At 36.8% G+C, this 24289-nt stretch overlaps 1 long non-coding RNA gene across 3 annotated transcripts in view; it reads left to right on the top strand.

The window, feature by feature from the left end:
• LOC105370603 (uncharacterized) overlaps window positions 1–21620 on the top strand; it is an 82165-nt gene extending 60545 nt beyond the window's left edge. For all 3 annotated transcript variants that reach the window (XR_944097.2, XR_944098.3, XR_944099.3), the window contains exons 2-4: window positions 8711–9744; window positions 16756–16945; window positions 21472–21620. This is a non-coding gene — a long non-coding RNA (uncharacterized LOC105370603). The remainder of the gene's footprint in view (window positions 1–8710; window positions 9745–16755; window positions 16946–21471) is intronic.
• The last annotated feature ends 2669 nt before the right edge of the window (window positions 21621–24289 follow it).

The raw sequence follows: 24289 nt of genomic DNA, 5'->3' as shown, positions 1-24289 counted from the left end.
CCAGAACAATAACTACAAAGATATTGAGAAAAGTGTTTAAGGCCCAGTAAAATTATTGGGTAGAGTAAAGACAGAAAGGCATAGATCCCCTGGATACACAGATGTCTTCTCCCAACACAACAAATCATTGCAACACTTATATAAGCAATGCAAACAAAATAGTAAGCAATTTTAATTTGGCACTGAAGGGCCCTGCAGATGAACTAGGCACATAGTGAGGAAAGCGTACATTTGGTTTTCAATAAAATAGATTCAAAGTTCCAGTTCTCTTGAAACTGTGCTGGAGGGATCAGCTATGTCAACCTTATGTTCTAAATGGTCTGCATGTTTATCAAGACTATTTTTTTTCCTACTCCTCAGCAGCCAAACTAGGAGCTGAAGCCATATGGTCAATGACTCACTTGATAGGCAAAGAAACTGAGACATAGGATACAAGACTAGCATTGATCAAACTAGACAAAAACACAACTGTGTAAAATTACATAAAAACAAACAATTCTCCCACCATATTTTCAGTACAGCTCCGCTAATGAACATCCTCAAATCATACCAGACACTCTGTATTTATTTTTCTGATGTACTTCCCTATAATCTGTTTCAGATTATTTTTATTTACAGAAATGATTTTTTCCAAGATTGGGACCACCAAGAAACTACAGATGCAGACATACGTCATATCACTCCTCTAGTCCTGAATTTATAATATTATTTAACTCAGTTTTTCTTTTTACCTGAGAACAAATAAACAAAAATAACAAACACCATCTCCCACCAAAATAATACAAACAGCAATGAAAAACTTTTCTAAGTAGCTGTGAGTCAAAAAGGTGAAATTTCATTGAGCTGCAAAACTAATCCAGCAGTTTTAGGATATGTTCACGTTTTGGTAATTTAGATGACTATTTCTACATTTCCCTATGATCCAGGATACCAAGGGACCTGCTGCCTGAGACGTTGAGATTTAGAGGGCTTTGTCTCTGTTACAATGACTCAGAGCAAATGGAGAGAGTGTCCATTTTTCATGGATGATGATGCTTGTAAATTTTCATTCATATCTTTGATAACTGATGTACTTAGCAACTTCCAGATAACATTGGTTAGAGTTAGCTCTGCTTATTTTGGTTCTAATTTAGAAGGAAGACAGAGAAAATACTCATTCTAAGTACCTACTTTTTGTCAGTAACTATGGTAGCTACTTTATGCACTTTGTGTCCATCAGGGTTTTCCAGAGAAACAGAAATAATAGGATACACACACAAACACACACACACACACACACACAGGTTTCACATCCATAGATTCAACTAACAGGCTCTAAAAAAATTCAAAAAAAAAAATTCTACAAATTTCCAAAAGGCAAAACTTGAATTTGTCATGTGCTAAATATCACACAAAAGAAATAACATGTAGGCATGGTATTCAATTGAATAATTAATCTGGATGGGTGTGGTACGTCACGCTTATAATCCCAGTACTTAGGGAGTCCAGGCAGAAGGACTGCCTGAGCCCAGGAGTTTGAGAGCAGCCTGGGCAACAGGGAGAGACTGGGTCTCTGAAAAAAAAAAAAAAAAAAAAAATCTAGAGGTGATTTAAAGTACAGAGAAGGTTGTGCATAGGTTATATGAAAATGCAACACCATTTTATATAAGGGGCTTGAGCATCCTTGGATTTTGTTATCCATGGGATATTCCTGGAAGCAAACTACAAATTCCAAGAGATGACTGCATATATAGAAGGATAGATAGAGACATTAGAGGGAACTTACGCGGAAACTTACGGAAATCAGCTTATGTCATTATGGAAGCTAAGAAATCCTACAATCTGCTGTTTGCAAGCTGGAGTACCAGGAAAGGCAGTGGTGTAATTCAGTCTGTGTGCAGAGGTCAGAGAACCTGGGGTTCTGATAGCTGAGTGGGGAAGAAGATGGATGTCGCCTTTTTAGAAGAGATAATAATTCACCCTTCTTCTGCCTTTTTTTTCTATTCAAGCCTGCAGCAGGTTGGATGATGCAGGCCTGTACTGGTGAGGGTGAAACTTCTTTACTCAGTCTACTGATTCAAATGCTAATCTCTCCTGGAAACATCCTCATAGACACAGCAAACATGACCCTGTAACATCTATCCGGGCATCTCTCAACTCAGTCAAGTTGACACATAAAATGAACCACGACACACTTTATCTCACTGAAATATCAAAATATTTGCAATTTTTAGGGTCATGTATCCTGTCAAAGGCCACCCGGAGAGCATTAGAAACACTTCTTTGGATTAGAATTTTGATTATCTGACTACAAAATCTATATATGAACCTTCTATTTTCTTAGAACAATTATTGGGTTTACAGATGTTTTTGTAAAACACAAGAAAAACTGTAAGGGATTTCAGGACTTCTGTAATTGGTTCTTTTTTCAAGTTAGTTAAAGTCTTTGGAAAAACCAAATGATAGTTTTTTATTTAAGCCAGAGGTTAAGTGATGATTCTACCTCTACAATAACCTCCTCTGTTCATCAGTGCCCTCCTCTGTTCACCAATACATTTTAAAACAAATATCCATATGTTTTACAATATATCTTAAAAATAATATTAATTGGTATATAATTGAATAAATTGATAATTAAAATGGGAAGAGAGTAGCTGTCCAAACGTTCTCTCAGCACAGACAGTTCAATGTTTTAAGCTTCTATAGTATACATATGCAGGAGCCATGTCTATGGTTCTCCAAAACATGACAAAATGGGCATGCCAGAATCAATGCTGTTAAAATATACAGGTGTGGCCTTAAAAATGGAATAACTTTAAAATTATATATAGTTTGTAATTTTTAAAAATTGCAGTCTATTTTGCTATTATCAATTAAAATGAAAACTGATAGAAAACTACACTTATAAAATTTTGTTACTGGATTTGACTTGATGGCTCAGCACTTAAGGGAAACTCTCATTGGAGGGAACTTGCCATTTATAGAGGATTTCATCAGTAATCAAATAATTTTGAGAGAGAAGGACCCAAAAGGACTATGGAGATGAGAGTGAGCAGCTCCGGGATGTATTCCTGGCTCTCTGTTTATAGTATTCACTTCATCAGTCTGGGTAAAGTTGACCTGGATAGAGAAAAGAAGAAAGAAATGGGTTTTAATAGTGAGGACAATGCTATCTTCTACTTACTTCAAAGCAGATAGGTTTATGATGAAACAGAGTTTTGTAAATCTTGTCGAATTAGAAAACAAATCACTGACAATGTGCACAATCAGAAAAAATAAAAATAAAAAAATTATTGACACTTGACACTCTTGAGCCAGCTGTGTTTTCTGTGAGTTTCACTCAGTTTTCACATAGATTTGCTTTAATAGTAATGATGATGAAGGCATTTTCCTACTAAAGGATGCTTAAAGGACACTGCCCTTAGGAAGCATTTTATTCACTACTGAATTCTGCAGTGGGAAGCAGCAGCTGGAAAAGTGTTGTCCAGCTGCACCATGAAAGCTGGTACCATAAAAGGAGATGATTTGTCAAGATGTGCCAGATTTTCTTATTAAAAATTTGGCCAACAATGTTAAGCAAAGCAATTAGACATAACCACCCTCCAAAGTTGCCAATGCAATGAGTATGGGAACCAAAAAATGCATTTCACAGACTCCAGAAAAGTGGGAAGTAATATTGAAGATGTTGAGATATAGATGGATAAAGACTGTGGTTTTCTAATTGATGTGTATTTATATAACTATGACACTAGGGAAGCATCTGATTAGATGATCTCAGTCCCAAATATGCAGATTTGATTGAGCATTAGTAAATTATAAGCTCTAGGATGCACTTTCTTTCCAAGTTTTAACATTTACACAGGCAAAAGCAAGTTTATTGGAAAGGTATGAAAACCCAAGACTTGTAAATTCATAATGACATACTTCATGATGATTTGAAAGCACTTGACTTCCAGCCCAGCCCACACATTGTGTAATAAAATGCAGAGATGCTTATGCCATGGGCAATGCAGTCATGTACTCCAACTGGAAGAACAGGACTCGATAAGTCAGAATTACAACTTTGAAATTACTCTAACTGTATGAGTCAAAGGAAATGTGGAGGCCGGGTACGGTGGCTCATGCTTGTAATTCCAGCCCTTTAGGAGGCTGGGGTGGGCGGATCATGAAGTCAGGAGATCGAGACCGTCCTGGCTAACACGGTGAAACCTCATCTCTACTAAAAATACAAAAATTTAGCCAGGCGTGGTGGTGGGCACCTGTAGTCCCAGCTACTCGGGAGGCTGAGGCAGGAGAATCGCTTGAACACAGGAGGCAGAGGTTGCAGTGAGCCGAGATTGCACCACTGCACTCTAGCCTGTGCGACAGAGTGAGAATCTATCTCAAAAAAAAAAAAAAAAAAAAAAAAAGAAAGAAAGAAAGAAAAAAGAAATGTGGAATGAGACATTAAAAAAAATGACAAGGTATCCTGTCATGGGTGATAAGAAAGAACTTTTGAGGAAAGTTCTAGGCAACAGAGCTTCCTATCAGCCCAGTCTCTGGAGAACTTAGACACCTTGCTGAAAACAACGTAATTTAATCCATAAATATGAAAATGCTTTTTCAATTAGTTATATAACTGGCCTACGTGCAGAATGACCATAAGCTACCATGTTTTTCTGGAGATACAGTTCCAGGGAAAACAAAATAAAAATCTGAGGGCTTATAAATATAGAGACAGAGTAGTGATACTAGTTAGATCCCACTACCTAGTGTTCCTTAGAGTGACAAAATGGGTAACCACCTTGCTTCAGGGCACAATCTCCAGAAACGACTGCCGTAGACGTGAGAAAGACTTGTCTAGCAACTTTCATTTTCCTAAATTCCATTATGATTATTATGCTCTTCTGTTCATATCTATTTCTACCGTCCTTGTTCATTTCAACACAGAGTACTATTGACGACGTATCAGTAGAAGTATGAACAGAGATTCTGAGATCAGGCTGAGTTTGAATCCTAGCTCCATTACTGACTGGCTCTACAATTTTGGGCAAGTTACTTAATCTCACTGTTCCCAATTTCCTCCTCTGTAAAAGGAGTTAACAGCATCCCATGCCATAGTAGCATTGAGAGGATAAATCAGCTCAAATATCTTAAAGGCCTAGCACAGTGCTTTGTATTTTATACTTACCATGTGCTCATTCTTTGCTAAGTGCATTTGGTAAATGGAACACATTTGGTGATATTGTCATTGTTTATTTATTTTAAAATGTATATTGCTTTACTTCTCAGAAGTGTTTTTTCAATGACCAATTTCATTTACAAAGTATGGATTCTTGATTTTTTAAATCATTTTCTTGTTTAAAGGGTACCATGCTATGCACATTATATAAAATCACATTTATTTTTCATAACGTGACTGTGGAAAACATGATTCATTACCTACTAGATATTATTTCTCTCCATCTCCTTTCTTCTTTCTACTACAGAGTCTTGATTTGCTCACGGTATTAATGTGGGTAGCCCCAGAACATGCACTGATAAATAAAGAATTTTCTAAGCCTCTCATGATCTTCCCATTTCTAATTGCTTGGCAATTTCTTCTCCAGACTGCCTTGCAATGAGAGAAGGCCATGAGACTGATTTTAGGCAATGAGGTTTTAGGGGAAGTCAACAAAGAGACTTTTTGAAATGTTTTCTTACGCTGATAAAAGGAGAGGGTAACTTATAGTAGAAGTTCTGTATCTTTGCTTGACTCTACTTTTTTATTATTCAAATGTAATTGGCATGCTTGGAACTGGGGCCATTATCTTGCTATGAAGAGGTGACAAATGTAAGATCAAATAGCTTATTGCACTTAGGTATCAAACTCTTGCACTCCAGCAATCCTCCCACCTTGGTCTCCCAAAGTGGCAATACAGGTGTGAGCCACCATGCCCAGCTGGAGGGTCATTTTTAAAATACAGTTCTCTGTACCCCTAGCTCACAAATTCCAATTCAGCTTTTATTTTATTTATTTTTCTGGTAAATTTTGAAGTAACTTTTTAGCTTTTTGAGCTTCTAATGCAAAGTAAGATCAGGAAAATTTAAAGCTGTAGTTTACCATTATACAATTAGTATTTGCCAGACATTTTGCTATATATTTTATATAGGTCATATTTCAGAATAATTTCATGATAGAATTATTCTATCTAGATGTTAGGCTGGATATCTAGATAGAATAATTAAATTATTACTTTCCACATTTTACAGGTGAGGAAACTGACGTTAGAGAGGAAAACAATACGCATAATTTTAAATGACTAACAAAAGACCGAACAAAGATTTGAAGGTACACTATTAACCTTTTTGCTATGTTACTTTGTGAGGCCATCATGCTTTTTTCCAAATTTATATGCCCTTTTGGAGCAGATATATGCAAATTACCTTTTTTTCCTTGGTGATGAGTAAATGTGTAATCATAATCCTAGTAGAAAACTGTAGATACACTAGAATTGAGTAATTTAAGGATAATTTAATAAGTCAATTAGATGGAAACAGGCTGTAACACCACACATGGCTACTTCTATTCACAGGGCTGAAGAAGTTAAGTGGGCCGTGGGGTTATTGGAAATTATAAAAGAAGGGGATGGTCTGGCCACCACTGTAGCCTCTGGCAGAGAAAAGCACCAGAACCAGTGGCCTGCAGGGAGCGTGTGGGAAAACACAGGTCAAGTTCTTATTCTTTTCTCTTCCTCCAGTGAGCTGAACCCAACAGGGAACCAAAGGATAAAAGACCCCAGGGGTATAGTCCACACAGTCAGGACAGAGAGTAGGTTAGAAAAGGGTGGAGACAGAATCAGGAGAGGAAATAGGATATAGGAGAGGAAGGCAACTTTTCCAATAAAAGCTAGCCAGTAGTTAAGGAGATGGAGAAGAAATCAGTTGGAATCTAAGCAGCCAAAGGAAGATACCCATAAACACCAGCCAGTCAGGAAAGTTTATTTTTACCTAGTGGAAGGAAGGCTTAGGCTGCACATCCCAAAACAAGGCTCACACAAGTGTCAAAAAGCACATAGATTCGGTTAGCTGTGTTGTCATGGCTATCCAGGCTGGTATCAATGTTAACTAAGATTTTTGTGCATGGCATCTGCAAGATGAAATCAAAATGTCCTGTTTCCTAATACTGGTTTATTCTTCTGGAAGCATGACTGAAAAGATTTGGCCATGAGTAATGATCTGGACTGTCATTTATTAGCAAGCAACCTCCAGTTCTCAGCAGTTTCTTTGATGTTAATATAGATTCATATGTAAACAAGTTCCAATCTCTCTTGAGGTATTATTATCTAATTTTCTGGGATAAAATACAATATGTAAAGGAACCGATTCATTCTATGTCTTCTCTCATTCATGTTCTACTTAAAGAATAATAGAATCTATGTCTTCTCCTATTCATTTTCTACTTAAAGAATAATAGAAGGCAAATAAAACACTTTCTTCAAATATATATTTATTTCAGCTGGAGGTTAACAAAATGTCTGTGCTACAATAGACAAAGTGAATGGCTCCTAAATGAAATTTTCTAATTAAAGCATTATAATGATAGTAACATTTGGATAGCAGCTTTGGTTTCAATATTTTTCATTTGTAATACTGCTCTTTCACCATTCATTTTAATACATGGTGGCTGAATATTAGTAGGTGCTAGGGAATTCGCTATTTATATTCTAAGAAGGAAGACAGATAAGATTGAGATTGGAAGAAGCTTCACATATTCAAGAAATAGCAGGGCAGCATGTGTCGACACTGAAGTTAGGAGGGGTAAAAGTGGTAGTGGACATGGTTGAGAGAAAGGCAAAAACCAGACCAGAGCAGGATCAAAGGCCAGTAATAATGATATTAGTCATAGAGTGATGGGGAGACATTGGAGGCCAGTGAGCAGGTGAATGGCATGGTCTGATGTCCATTTTTCAAGGATCACTCAAGCTGCTGTATAGAGAATAGCATGTATAGGAACAAAAGAGGAATCACGAAAACTAAAGAAATGTTTCCCCAATTAATTAGAAAAAAGGTAGGATTTGAATCTAACTATACTTTCTCAGAAAAGATGCCTCCCATCATTACTTCCCATGCTCAGGGCTTGAGCCATCTTTCTGTTTCCTTAACAAACCAAATATTAGCCTGCCATCAGGCCAACTGTAAACATAAACCTCTTTATTAGAAGCATCTGTGCTGTAAACACTTTTGAAAAAAAAAATGATGATTTTCTTTACTTCTTAAGAGGACAAATATAGCTGTCCACACCTTCACAAAGTTAGAGACAGAGGCAGCTGTTTAAAATCCCCGAGAGTTCTCGGAGAGGCTAGGATTACAAAGGTAGTTTTGTCTATAAATTATCAAGTGGTTGTTCATATGACATAAAATCATTTTTGTTCTCCTGTCCTGTAGGAAGGTGAATTGATTGCACATGTGCATCTAAGTATACATGGTGAGCACAGAACATTGCATGCGGATACAATAGACAAAGTGAATGGCTCCTAAATGAAGGACATACGCATTTTATCATTGATTGTTGCTGCAGACTCGATATTTGTTTCCCCGCAAATTTATATGTTCAGATTCTAACTCCTAGTGTGACTGTATTTGGAGAGGGCACCTCTAATGATGTAATTAATGTTAAGTGGGGTCATAAGGGCAGGACTGTGATCTGATAGAATTAGAGTCCTTGTAAGAAGAGATACCAGAGAGCTCACTTGCTTGCTCTCTTTTACAGCACAAAGAAGAGGTCACAGGAGCACACAGCAAGAAGGCAGCCATCTGCAACCCTGTGGAGGAGACCTCCCCAGACATTAACCATGCTGGCACCTTGATCTTGGACTTCTAGTCTCTGGGACTGTGAGAAAATACATTTCGGTTGTCTCAGCCACTCAGTCTGAAGAATTTTGTTATGTCAGCTCGAGCAGATTGATGCGGCTATTGAGATACAGCGGTTTCTATTCTGTTTATGTTTCCTTGTTTTGTTTCTGTTGTTGTTGTTGTTGTTTTGTCCTGGGCATGTAGACCAAAGCCAATAGGCAAGGTCACTTCATTACTAGGAACCAAGTCTAATCATTGCACTAGAAAATACTTAACTTTATGCATCCAGCTTTTTAGAAAATTGTATTTCAACTCATTACAGGATTTTCATAGTGTATCACAAGATTTATGTTGAGAGGAAAAGAGCCCTAAAGTTTCAAGATAATTGAATTCTGGAAAATGAGAAAAGTAGTCAATTTTTATAAATTAGTAGGTAGCATCTATTTTTTCTTTTTTTGGTACTAAAATTATTGCATTTTTATTTTTACCTTATTTTGTACCAAGATGGGTCTAAATGTCATGGTGACTCATTTCAAAACTTGCATTTTCATTTGTGATTAATCCCACCTACACTGAAAAGTTTTTGCTTGATTTTTCTACTGAGGTGTGGGTTCCAAGCCTCGGTATCCTATGGATGTACAATTGTCCAATGTAAGTTGTCAACTGTTATATTTGGGAGTGAAAGTAGAAACTACAGGGATCAAAAATGAGTTGGCAAGTTTTCTTTTCCTGAAGGATGAATCACTGGAGAAGTGCCAGTGAATAGAAAAAAAAAATTTCACCAAAAGAAATAATAACCAACAAGCCATGTTCTACTGTCTTAAAACAAAGAAAAGCCATTTATCTCAGGGCACATATTGATGCTGAAAATGATTCAACTTCACCACATCATAAGCGGAACCGTCAGAAGCATATTCCTGGAAACCAAAGCCTCTTGGGAGAAAGTTCAAGGTCAGAGTTTTTAAACTTTAGACATAGACATATGTTTTAATAGAAGACGGTCAAATATCACCCACCTCTCTCTCACTTTCTTTATATATACTAAATAACTAAAATAATACAAAAAAGGATCTCTAAAACTTCCATATTGAAGATATAATACATATTCGCATCTTTAAAATGGACTATGATCACACTGGTAGCATCAGTTTGAAAGTGAAAAATGTAACAATATGGCAGATAATTTCCCCCAAGAGAGTTGTAAACATTGTTGAGAGCTCTCGTTGTTTTTAACATGTTAGAAATAAATAATGAGGAAAGATCACTGGAAGAGTGATTCAGATTATGCAAAAGTCAATAACCTCTATATGCCTCAGGTCCTTCATTTGGAAAATGTACAGAATAAAATATATGTCATAGAGAAGCAACGAGGTTTGAATGAGGCAATGGACACAGGGTAATTGCCATATTATATATAGTTGCTAAATAAATCGTAGCTATTCAGGTGCATTTTCCTAACTATTATCAAAATCTTTATCTTCCACAAGATGAATTATTATTAAAACAAAGTTTTCTAGAGAAGAGGGAAGAGGTCACAATGGCCGTGGACTATGTGGAATAGGAGGTAAGCATTGCAGAGTTTATTAAAAATAAATTTCAGACTTAAGAAAGTTCTAGAGACTGAATTATGCCCCCTGAAATTTTTATGATGAAGCCCTAATCCCAGGTGTGATTGTGTTTGGAGAAAGGGAGGAAGCGATAAGGGTTAAATGAGGTCATAAAGGTCAGGTCCTAACTTGATGAAGCTGGTGCCCTTGTAAGAATCGGAAGAGACACCAGACCTCTCCCTCTCTGGCATGTGAGTACACAAGAAGGCAGCCATCTGCAAGCCAGTAGGAGAACCCTGGCCAGAAATAAAATCAGCTGGTACTTTAATCGTGGACTTTCCAGCTCTCAGAAGTGTGAGAAAGTAAATTTCTGTTGTTTAAGCCAGCGAGCCTAATGGGGTTTTGTTATGCCAGCCCAACAGACTAAGACAGGATGCATTAAAGGGTAATTATTTTTGTTTTATGTTTGTTTTGTTTTGTTTCAATTTAGGCAAAGATGGAAGTGAATACACAAATAAATTGCATTACCTGAAAATAAGTTAAATCATTGCAGCCTTTAAATTATTGAAACAGAGATGGGCAACATTGACATATAAAGCCACATTTCAATGGCTTCAGTATTCTCACCTCAGAAATCATAAAATGTTTTGCAATTTAATGAGTTTAATATTTCTGTAATTAAGACATATGTCTTAGAAGTTTATTCTGATCAAGACTATTTTACATGCATCAAAAATGCCACCAAAGAAGCACAAGAGTGATAGCAATAACACCCTATTATTTGTAGAAAGTAACATAGTGAGAACAAATGGCTATATTTGAAAGAAGTTGGCTGTCAGAGCCATATTAAAGAAAACACAAATAGAAGTAATTTATTCAATAATATTATGCTTCATTAGGCTTTGGATTTAGTCTTTAATGTTGCCAGGAGGCAGAATGTTTCATTGATTTTTTTTTTGAAATTATTGCAAAATATTAGATGCCAAAAAGCACTTTTATTCTTAATACTCATTACTGCTTGGAAATACTTCCCTGCAACCATATATATTTATACATATAGCTATACATATGTATTTGTATTATTGTGTGTGTGTGTGTGTGTGTGTGTGTATGTATTTATATTTTGGCAAGGTCAAACATAACTATGGTAGAAAATATCTTTTTAATTTGGTAGAGAAGCAATATTATTAACTCATTTTACTGAAAGTGGTTTTAATACTAGAAATCTAGAATGACACTTATCTGGTTAAAAATGTCAGAAAACAATGATTCCGGCAAAAATTCAGAGTCTCTTTTTTCAAGCTCATCTAATTTTATGTGGAAAATATGGATAAAGCATGAGTTTAAAAGCTTACAATGCCATTTCTCGTGATCTAATTTAACTTGCATTGAGCTGTGATGGTTTGAATGTGTCTCTCAAAATTCATGCATAGAAAAGTTAAACCCCAATGCAGCAGTGTCAATGGGTGGGGCCTAAAAAGAGGTGATTAGGTCATGAGGATTCCACCATCATGATTAAATTAATGTCATCATTGTGGAAATGAGTTAGTTATCTTCAAGATGGGCTTGTTATAAAAATGAGTTTAGCCTCTTTAACTTTTGCTCTCCCTCCTGCCCTTCTACCTTCTGCGGTGGGATGACACAGCAGGAAGGCCCTCACCAGATGCCGGTAGCTTGATAACTGAATTTACCAGCCTCCCAAACTATAAAAAGTACATTTCTTTTCTCTGTAAATTGCCAAGTTGGTGCCATTTTGTTATAGCAACACCAAGTGGACTAAATCTTGAGCTAAGAAGAGGTTTCCCTGCCCTAACCATATGTAGCATGCCTGGACTTATTATGCTAATTAGGTCAAGGGAATACTTTCTCCCTCTCACTACTTCAGGGGCCACAAATAAAAATTTCAACCTTGATTAACCATGCAAATTTATATTATTTTCCCAAGGGTAGCACATCTAGGTTGTTGTTGTAATATATTTGAAATAAACCCACTTATCTTTTAAGGCCAATTATATATCTGAAATACACTCTTTATATGTAGAAAACAAATATTATGGTCTCATAACAACTTTGAACATGTGTCAACTATAGAATCCTATTAGTTCCAATTACAATTTTTGATGTAGGTGCTTGTCTTTCCAATAAAATTGTGGGACACTCTATTGTTTGTTACTTGATCACTTTTTGAATTCTCAGAGTATAGCACAACACACAAAAGATAATTTGACAAAATACATGAAATTTAGTTAAAAGAATGAGCTACTTAGAAAAAAATTTTGTAGTTTTTGAGAGTTTGCATTGAAAAATGTCTACAAAGTAACTGTAGTACAGATAATCCTAGAATTACAGTTAAAATGATAGAGTGATCATTTGAAACACCCATGAATAAGCTATACCAAGAATGTTTCTCAACAGGGTGTCCATGTGTGCTGTCTGAAAAAAAAATTTTAATGTCTCCTGACTGATTTAATCATATAAACATATAATATTACAGGTTATTTAATGTTTCAGTGACTGAGTGAATGCAAAACTCTGTTGTGTATGGCTTCAAATCTTCTTGGCCTTATATCTTATTTCAGCCATTGCTGTTATGCATAATTCCATGGAGGCTTTGTGCAGCTTGGCACAAGTGTGATCTGACAGTGTCTTGACAATGCACAGCAGGTCCTCTGACTTGCTGCCCAGAGCTCCTCTGACACAGGGTGTTCCTCATGAAGAATTTGGCAATCACGCATGTGCAGCACTTATGTGTTGGAGACTGAACCAACAGATAAATGATTTTCCTTTTTACTTCTGTGGTGGGTGGTTCTGAGACATACCAGAAGGCTTCTTAGAAACTTTCTTGGGCTAACCAAATTATCTTCTCTTGAGGTGGCCAATCAGTAACACATTTTTGAATGAACTTCTTGTCTTGTCCTGTTTGCTCCAACACCTTTTAATCTGGTTCTCTGAAATCATTTTTCTGAATAAGCCATTAATATGTTAGCCTTTATCAGTCTGCTTTGGGAAAACTGAAACTAACACATTGCGTCTCATTATTAAAAATATTGTTGGTGCTAAATGGTTCCATCAAATTATAGAAGGCAAATTAATCAATTTAAAAGCAGACTTATATTCATGATATATATTGAAAAGTGATAGAATATATGACTTCATACCATATTTGAATTGAAGTTTCCTAGAAATTTAATTTTTTTTTAAGTGATGAAAAATCTGTGTTATGCCCACACAGTGCTAAGTGGTAAACACAAAACAAACTCAAAATTCCGTCTAACTACAATATTATCATAGTCACACTTGGGCAGCAATTTAAATTCTCTAAAACTATACGATCCCTTGAATTACATTAATGTTATTAATTTGAAAAGTGTTGATTTTGTAGGTTGGCTTGGAGTTAATGTTTATATATTTCTTTGTTTTTTGGTTACATAAGAATGATAAGCATAAGACATTTAAAACTAGATGCATCTCTACATTTGTTTGTATAACAGTATATTAAAATGATTTAAGTCAACATTAGGGGTATATGGGTGGATGTCCTCAAAATGTATCCATGTATTATTTCAAAAACAGTATTCAAAGGTGAGGACCTGGACAAAGTTTCATTGGAGTCATTTGTAACTATTAATAGAAATTCAGGAACCAGGTTTATCAGTGAATGCAATCAAGGCTGTCATTAAATATTGCATTATGACATTTATTTGTATTGAAAATGAAATAAATTATTTCCTACAGCTTTCTTCATGCTCTTTCAAAGGGTGAGATGACAATGCATGTGCAATCTAATGTCCGTCCACCTGAGAGAGCTGCCTGTAGTCACTCAAGATCAATGTAACCCAGCAGCTGTTTCTGCTTTAAAGGTCATTGAGAATTTATAAACAGTTTTTTTCTTTCCTGTTTTTCTTAAGCTTAAATAGTTCTATAATGAAAATTAGACATATTTTAATATGTCTCATGAGCACATCCAAAGGTAATAAATATCTCCAGAATACTGCCCTTTACAGAAGGTTCTTTTGTAAGAACTAGATAGACCTGTGACTGGTTTTGTAGTCCTATAGACCTGGGTTCAAATTCTCACTCTGCTATTTGGTCTCTATATGACATAGATGGCCTTAGACAAACTACATACTGTATCTGAGTATCAGTTTATTGATCTGGAGAGTAAGGTAAATTAATATTAATTTAAGTAATGCAGACAATATCTTTAGTTTTTGCCATGTTTGAATGTTCAGAACACAGAAAGTACTGAAATAAATGAATATAAATACAAATACATATATGTTGATTATACCTTATGTATTTTCTGTGCCTTTAACTATTTCTCTAGTTTACGCTTTGTACTTAGCCTTTTATTAAGAGAATAATAAGAATAAAATAAGAAATAAAAATAAAATAAGAAAAACATGTTAAAACAAAATATTATACATCAATTTAGGTTTGGAGAAGACCAAAGGAACTTATATATATATTTCATATATATATATAACACATATATTATATATTTTTGTATTAAAAATATTTGATATTAAAATACGTAAATATATACATTAAAATGTTTCATATTAATATATATTTTATATTAAAACAACATATATAAATATATATAAATAACATATAAATAAATGACTACAGCTCTTGGCAAAGAGCAACTATTCATTTACTTTTCATCTTTTTTTTAAATATGAGGAAAAATTAGAAGATATTTACCTGTAACACAAAAACAAGAATAAAGTAAAAAATGTTTTTAAAACCAAATTACTGGCCAAATAAAAGGAAACATCAGGTCGCATATTAGAAAAAAAAAAACACCTTAATGAGAGATAGGACTTACCGTTTTCAAGAGACATAAATAGACTCTGATGATCTGATCAATGTGTGGGAAGAATAATGGTTAACTTGCAAAATTGAAATAAAACAGGCATGGGAATTACAGAAGCCAGGGCTAGCAGGGGCTAGGACATGAGCTAGTGAAGACTGGTGAAGACATTACTTCAGCAGAATCCATTGGTGATCTTGTTTGGGTCATGCACTTGGCTAGGGAAGTGTAGGGAGGGAAGAAGAGGATGGATTTTTTAAAATACACACTTTTAAGCATGTTTTAATTTTTATTTTTAATTGACACATAATGATACATACTTATGAGGTACGATGTGATGTTCAACATGTATACACCATGTAATGATCAAATCAGGTCAATAGGCATATCCATCACCTCTCTTTTTTTGTGTGTGATGGGAACATTGAAAATTCTCTCTTCTAGCTATTTTGAGAGCTACAATACCTTACTGTTAACTACTGTCACCCTACTGTGCAATAAACACCAGAACTTATTCTTCCTTTCTAACTGTAACTTTGTACCCATTGACTGACTCGCCATGGCCCTCCCCTCCTTTCCCCAGCCTCTGGTAACCACCTTTCTATTTGCTACTTCTATGAGGTTGATTTTTTAAGATTCCACATATGCGGTGAGATCACGTGATGTTTGCCTTTCTATGTGTGACTTATTTCACTTCACATAATGTCCTGCAGGTTCATCCATGTTGTTGGAGATGACAGGATTTCATTCTTTTCATGAATAAATAGTATTCTACTGTGTATATATAGCACATTTTCTTTATCCGTAGTTGGGCACTTAGGTTGATTCCATATCTTGGCTACTGCGAATATGGAATCAGCCTACGTTGTCCAACCACAGGTGAATGAACGCTTTTAAACTGCAAATTCCATCAGTTCAGCACACAATAATGATATAAGGAAATTAGAAAAATCTCCCAAATGAAAGCTGGTTTCCTCTTATCAGAGAAAAAGGGAATGCCTAGCAAGGCCAAAATAATCAATGTTTATTAAGACTCTAAAGCCTGATACTGTGTCACTCTCATGTATTTAAAGCCAGAAAGTAAGTCAAAGATGTATCTGAAGAAATATAGTGGGTCAATGAGTGATATCCTTCAGGCCCAATGACTATTTCCTGTATATAAAGAATAAGCTGATTTCATGACCTGTGTGTCTATCCACTTCAGCATTTTTCTGACAGAACACAGCATCAGGAGCCCTCTCACCCTCTAATAAAGGATAGGACTGTTCTCCATTCATGGACAAGCCTCTGTAATCTGTGATACAGGAATAAAAGTCATTTCTAGGTTCATATTAACCATTGATGAAATTCAATACTTTTTAAGCTTTTATTTCCTACTGCTGAAAGCTTTCTAAGATAATAGAAAGTAATATAAAAATTAAGTATATTTTCAAGTGTTTTTTTATCTTTCTTTCCTCCCTCCCTCCCTCCCTGTCTCCCTCCCTCTTTTCTTTCTTCCCTTCCTTCCTCCCTCCCTCCCTCCTTCCCTTCCCTTCCCCTTCCTTCCTTCCTTCCTTCCTTCCCTTCCTTCCTTTCCTTCCCTCCTCTCCTATATCACAGAAGCTGAAAAGAGCCATGCAGTTCAATTATCCTGATTCTTCAGTTTCCATCTGTATGAAACAGGCCACGCAGCAGAGACATAGACACATCAGAATTCCCATCTGCACTGCAATAAACACTACTTAGGAGAATCAGTCTCAGCTGGACCAAACCTCTCAGTCCCACTCGATGTCATCTGTGCCAAGCCAAGGTACATAGAGAAAAAGAAAACCTCACTGATATGGTAGATGGTGGGTGTGAAATTTCTAACACTGTTACCTGTAATCACTAAGATAAGATGCATGAGTTGTCACAGTTAACTCTCCCACTGAACTATGCCTAAAGCCATGTGCTCCATTGTCCAAATGAAGGTAGACATTAAAAAGTTTTTAAATTTTTGTTTGTTTTGTTTTGCTGATGACAGATGTTTGAACACCCACACAAAATGGTGGCTTTAGAACTCGGTTTCATTGGATCAAAATATAAGTATTTGTGTGATATTTGGTTTTGCAGACAGTAAAATCTTAGGCAATTAAAAAAGTTTTTCCAAAAGAGTGTATTAGTATATTAAAAATCTTTTGAGGACTTTTATAAATATGGTTTGTATTTCTTTATTCCCTTTCTGAGGGTGGGGGACTTTTTAGTTTGAATTTTCTCAAAGCAGGGGGATTCTGAGTTTATTTGGGAGGTAATCCAAGAAAATCATCAGTAAGGGTTTGGAGAAATGAGACAGAGAATGAGATGAAGCCAATCAAGGAGGCTTTCTCAAGGACATTACCACTGCAGATAGTTGGAGCTTCAACTCAATGGAAAATTTAGGTATTCTGAACCAACCATGTTGCAGTTATCCCATTTGAGGGATCAGGGAGCTAGGCTATTATCCACCAACTTCCGATGTTACTGGTTAATGATTTGTCCTGGGAGTTTCAGTTCCCAGCACTTCCCAGTCAATCCTGTCCTAGGCCAAGTGGTGGCTAAAGGAAGCTCTCAGGTATAAAACCTGTACTTTTTTTTTTTTTTTTACTTTAAGTTCTGGGATATATGTGCAGAATGTGCAGGTTTGTTATATAGGTATACATGTGCCATGGTGTTTTGCTGCACCTATCAACCCATCATCTAGGTTTTAAGCCTCGTATGCATTAGGTATTTGTCTTAATGCTCTCCCTCCCCTTGCCCCCAATCCGCCAACTGGCCCCGGTGTGTGATGTTTCCCTCTCTGTGTCCATGTGTTCTCATTGTTCATTTTGGTAGCGAAAGTCAGGTTACATGCCAAAGGGGATGAGCAGGACACTGGAAGTATCTGCTAAAGAGATCTATTAACGTTTCCATTTTTACAGGGAGAAATCAGGGCAAAGCTTTTTGTGCATTTTTTATATCAAAATGTAAAAAAGCCCACTGCACTAATTGGCATATAAAACATGCTAACATCTATTAAAATAGAAACAACAAATTAAGCCTATTTATTTTGGTTTGTGTCCTTAATTCTCAAATCCATATCAAGATAATAAAAGATACTGAACTTGATTTCTTCTTTCTATTTCTCAGAGTGACTAGCTATACAATGACTAGTGATTAGTACTGACAATGCTATGAGAATCTTTCAGAAAGTAATAAAGGAGTGGGATTTCATAATTTCAACCTAGTATTTGGAAGTCAGAAGGAATCATACTTACATCATGCTTCTGATGATACCTTTACTATCCATAATCATAGGTTAATTCACCAGAATTCAGATAAGATATGCAATTTAATTCCATTTTGAGTGTATATTCTATTGCATTATATTCTATTTAGCATTTATTGAGTGTTAACAATCTGAACTATGCATGTGACTTTAGCTACTTAGAAAAATTAATTTGAAGGTTGGGTGTGGTGGCTCACATCTGTAATCCCAGCACTTTGGGACGCCGAGGTGGTGGATCACTTGAGATCAGGAGATCGAAGCCAGCCTGGCTGACATGGTGAAACCCCATCTTCACTAAAAATACAAAAAAAATTAGCCAGGTGTGGTGGTGGGCACCTGTAATTCCAGCTACTTGGGAGACTAAGGCAGGAGAATTGCTTGAATCTTGGAGGCAGAGGTTGCAGTGAGCCAAGATCGAGCCACTGCACTCCAGACTGGGCGACAGAGCAAGAGTACATCTCAAAAAAAAAAAAAAAAGAAGAAAAATTGATTTGAGAGTGAGATGCTGTTCTCTGCAACACAAATGAGTTACCCATGCAGAAATTTATTCATGAAACAATTTTTATCAAGTATTGTCGATTAACCCAGTTTTAATACATTTTTTCACAATGCACTATTTTTTAAATATATTTTGATATAATCTCATTTATTTTCTAGATGTTTTATTATACAATTTTTAAACATACAGCTGAATTAGAATTATACAGTGATTACCCATATGCCCATAACTTTTATTCTATAATTAACATTTGAGTATCATTTAAGTCTGCATTTTTTTCTATCACCGCTATAACAAATCACCACAGCTTAACACAGCACAAATTTATTAATTTACAGTTCTAGAGGTCAAAAGTTCAAAATGGATTTCAGTGGGCTAAAATCAAGATGTTGGCAGGTCTGCATTTCTTTGGCAGGCCTTTTTGTAGGCCCTGAGAGAGAATTAATTTCCTTGTCTTTTCCAGCCTGTAGAGGCCACTCACATTCCTTGGCTTGTGGTGTCTTCCTCTATCTTTAAATCTAGCAGTGTAGCATCTTCAAATCTTTCCTGACTCTGACCCTTGCTTCTCTTGCCAGATCTCCTTCTCTGACTCTTCTTCCTTATTCTTCCATCTTTTAAGGCCCTTTGTGATAATGTTGAACCCAGAATAACCCAGAATAGTTTCCTTAGTTTAAAATCCTTGAATTATTGACATCTGCAAAGTCTCCTTTGCCACGTAATGTAATGTATTCAAAGCTTCCAGGAATAAGGATGTGGTCCATTATTATGCCTCCCATTGATCTCTTTTCATCCATCAATCTATCTAATTTTGAAGGTGAATTTTTAAGTAAATTGAAAGCTGCTTATTCTCAAAGGCTACTCTCAATTGAGTTATCAATAAAGAAAAGTTACTCATATCTTCAAACCTCCTTTAAATAAGAATATATTTTACAAATTACTCATACTTCTTCAGGAATTTGTCTGTGTGAATGCTTCCCAGTTTTGCTACTCTATGCATGTGTTTTCACTAATTTGGTTAGTATGTTAACACAAGATGCTGATTTACAGATATTTTTAATGTGTGTTCTGACATTTGTAGTCTTTCTACTGTTTGATATAAATATTTTGCACTCAAGAATTCCATATTAAACCCTCCTTACAAAATCGGTTTATGATTAGATAAACTAAATCCATTTTCCAGTAGATATTTTATCTTTACGGGTCAAATTTAGCCCCAGTGTGACTCATTAGCTATCTCTATCCAACTAAACAAAAATCATCCTTTAGAAAATCAAGGGGATCCCCCTTCTGCAGGGTGGCCATGTTGTAAGAGAAATATAAAATAGTGAAGAATTCAGTTACTATGTAGATTTGTCTGTACGATATTATATCAACTTTGAATTTACAAATTTATAGTATCATATCTAATGAACTAGAAATCACAATGTTTCAATTCAAAAAATTGATGAAGTCACAATTGTAATAATATTAACTAGCATATATTGAGTACTGAGTATCTTCCAGATAGTGTAAATTATGTAAATATTATCAGCCCTATTCAATACATAAGAAAAAGTAGGTGTGTGCAGACTAAGTAAAATACCAATGTTCATACAGCTAATGTCTGCAGAAACCAAGATCTAAACAATCCTGAGCACTCTGCCTGGTGCACAGATAGAGAGAGGAACCAAGAAAGTCATCCCTTTGAGGCTGTATGGAATAAAGAGAAGACTTCTGTTTAAGTCAGTTTGGGGTGCTAAAAGAAAATACCATAGATTGGTGGCTTAAACAGTATACATTTCTTTCTCAAAGTTCAAGAGACTAGGAAATCTAAGATCAAGGCACCAGTAAATCCAGTGTCTGGTGAGGATATGGTTTCTGGTTTGCAGATGGTCATATTCTAGTTGTATCCTCACATGACAGGAAGCAGAGAAAGAGAAGTAGCAAGCTTCCTTCTGTGTTTTCTTCTAAAGGCACTAATCCCATTCATGAAGGCCCCACCCTCATGATCTAATTACCTTCCAAATGCCCCACCTCCTAAAATCATCACAGTAAGGGTGAAGATTTCAACATAGGAATTTGGGAACATAGATATTCAGTCCATAACATTCCACCCCAGCCTCCCAAATTCATATTTTTCTCAGATGAAGGGAAAACATTCCTTTCATCCAAAAGCCCTCAAAGTCCTAACTTATTTCAGCATCAACTCTAAAGAGCACACACTTGTCTTCAAGACAAAGAAAGAAAGGCCCTGTAGATGATGTAGATATTATTAGGGCTGCCAAATTCTCATGTAAATATTGTCTAAGTTAGATATGGGTGAGACTCCAAGTATGACTCATTCTGGGGTAAAATTTTTCTTCAGCTGTGAACTTGTGAAGCCAAACAAGTTACATGCTTCCAAAACGCAATGATGGAACAGGCATAGAATAGACCCCCCTATTCCAAAAGGGAGAAATGAAAAAGAAGGAAGGGCTGAGAGGTCACAAGTCCCAAGAATGCCAAAAACCTAGAAAGGCTAAGAGGTTATAAATCTTGAGAAGAATTCCCTTTGATTCAATGCTTTTCCTTCCAGACTCACCGGGACATCAGTCCAGCCTCCTCCAAGACCCACTATGGCAGCAGTTCTTCATCTGTGGCTCTACAGGCAAGGATCACATGTTGTGACTCTGCCAGGTAGAGGTTGTGCTTCTGTGGATCTGTCAGGTGGCCTTGCCCCCAAGGCTTTGCTGGGTGTTGGTCCTACTCTTTGAAACTGAGGTGGAGACACCCCTGCACCCCCCACCCCCAGGCACTCTGGATGTGCAGTGGAAGTGGCAGTCCTAAGATATCGGCATTATGTGCAGGGTCCTTCTTCCCTTATCTTGAAGAAAGTTGTATGTTTGTAGGTGAATAGCCCTTATGATCCATTCCCGTCGGGTCTTCCAACAGTCTTTCTCCATTTTGTCCTGTTTTCTCTGTTCTTAAGTTCCAGCTAGAAATGTTTCTTCAGCTGTAATGCCATCTCTATGCCAGGCTTCTGTTGAGATGGCTGATTAGGTTATGGTTCACAACCACACTAATCTTATTAAATGGTCACTCTACCACAGCCTTAGTATTCGTTTTCAAATGGACTTTCTCATTTTTATTTTTTATAATGTGGACAGGCTGATACATTTCCAAATCCTTAAGTTCTGGTTTCATTTTGCCTAACAGCTCTATCTTCTGTTCAGTTCTCTCCTCTACATTTTACTATAAGAACTTAGGAGAAAGCAAAACACCCTACGAGTGCTTGGTTTACAAATCTCAGATAAACAGACAATTTCATTACTCACAAATTCTACCTTCCACACAACACTAGGAACACAAACACAATTCAACCAAGCTTTTCTTTTGGAGTACTCACCAGAATCAGAATCAGAATTTATAAACCTCTTCACAGCAAAATCATTATTTGCTAACATATGCATCAAATCTCTTCCAGCTTCTACCCCATTATCCAGTTCCAACACCTCTTCCATATTCCTAGCCACTTTTTACATCATTAACACACCTCTTGGTACCCATTTATGTCTTAGTCTGTTCGGAGTGCTAAACAGAATACCATGGACTGGATTGCTTAAACAACAGAAATGTATTCTTCACAGGTCTGGAGGCTGGAAAATACACTACCAAAGTGCCAGCAGATCCAGTATCTAATGAGGGCCTGCTTCCTGGTTTGTAGATGGCTGTCTTCTAGTTGTATTTTCATATGGTGAAGAGCCAGAGAGACACAAAGGAAGCAAGCTCTATGTCTCTTCTTCTAAGGTTCCAATCCCATTCATCAGGGTTCCACCCTCTTGGCCTAATTGATATGGGCAGGAGACAGGAAAATGCTGAGAAGAAGCGGGTGGTTCCCCAGCAAAGGCCCCACTCTCAAGCCTGGATACCCGTGGCCCTAAATGAGAACAAGCATTCCTGTTTTCATGCCCAAAATGTTGCGTTTTGGCCTGCCACACACCCTGTCCTGCCACCATAAAAATCCCAAGCCCCAGGCTGCAGACCAGCAGTTCAGCAGACCAGCAATGGTGGAATGACACAGTAGAGAAACAGAGGAGTGATGTCTGGACACTGAGGCGAGTTCTGCTGGGGGTGGTCAGAGAAGAATCTGGCTGCTGAGTGGCCTGACTCCAGGTGAAGACCACCTTCCCATTCCATCCCCTCTTTTAGCTCCCCATCCATCTTGCTGAGAGCCACTTCCACCCCTCAACAAAACATTGCACTCATCCTTTGAGTCTGCATGTGATTTAATTCTTTTGTGACACTGGGCAAGAGCTTGGGTTACAGAAGGCTGTCACATTGGCCCTCTGCCTTTGCAATAAGGCCCAGGGTCCATTTAGCTGATTAACACACAAGTCATTTGCAGACATCAAAGCTGAAAGAGCTTGGTAACACTAGGGTTGCAGGCACCCACCCCTAAACACTACCACAGGGCCAAGAGCCCAAAGCACTTGCCCCAGCCTCTGCACCTGCCCATCTACATGCTTCCCATAAAGGTTTGAGCTGCAGTTGGGGGTGACCAAACAGGCAAGCCACACTCCTGTCGCATGTCTTGTGAGGGGAATCGGGCAATGCTACTGTTTCATAATTACCTCTCAAAGGCCCCACCTCCTAATATCATTACATTGGGGTTAGGATTACAACATATGAATTTGAGGAGGGGTGCACAAAGTCCATAACACTTTGCAACAGTGGTAACTTCTAAAGAAAATGTCAGAGTTAGTCAATAGTAGAAACTAGAGTAGGGTTTTTCAGACCAAGAAAACAGAATTTTAAAAAATACATAGAGCATTGTTTCTCAAGGGAGGATGATGCCCACCCCCTGGGGGCATTTGGTGATGTCTGGAGGCATTTTTACCTGTTGTAACTATGTGAGATTGCTACTAGCATCTAGGTGGTAGTGGCCAGGGATGCTGCTATATGTCCTCCAATGCACAGAACAGACTTTGCAACAAGAGATTACCATAAAAAATGTCAGTAGTGCTCATGTTGAGAAACTCTAATCTAGAGCACATACAAATGCCTGAACCAGCATGTACAGGGGACAGGTAGTTTCAGGTGGCTAGATGTGGGATTGAGTGGGAGGAAGGAGAATGGTGAGGCTGTTGTATGTCACTCATAAATAGCTTTATAGTTAGGCTAAGGAGTCTAGACTTTATCCTCCAGCCAAGGAAGATTTTAATAGTGGGGTTACATGAAGAATCTGTATATCTTGAAAAGGGGGTAGTTTATGAATATCAAATAAGATCCTTCATATGAAAGAAGTTTATAAAATTTTGTATAAATTTTAGGCATTGTTATTTCACATACATCAGACCTCATCATTAGAATAGGCTGACATGAAGTGAGATTTATTAGAGCAATTAAAAAAATCA

This window comes from Homo sapiens, chromosome 14, assembly GCF_000001405.40.
Source record: "Homo sapiens chromosome 14, GRCh38.p14 Primary Assembly".
NCBI classification, from domain to species: Eukaryota; Metazoa; Chordata; class Mammalia; order Primates; family Hominidae; genus Homo; species Homo sapiens.
The sequence above is the reverse complement of the archived record's forward strand: the minus strand, read 5'-3'. Positions and strand labels throughout refer to the sequence as shown.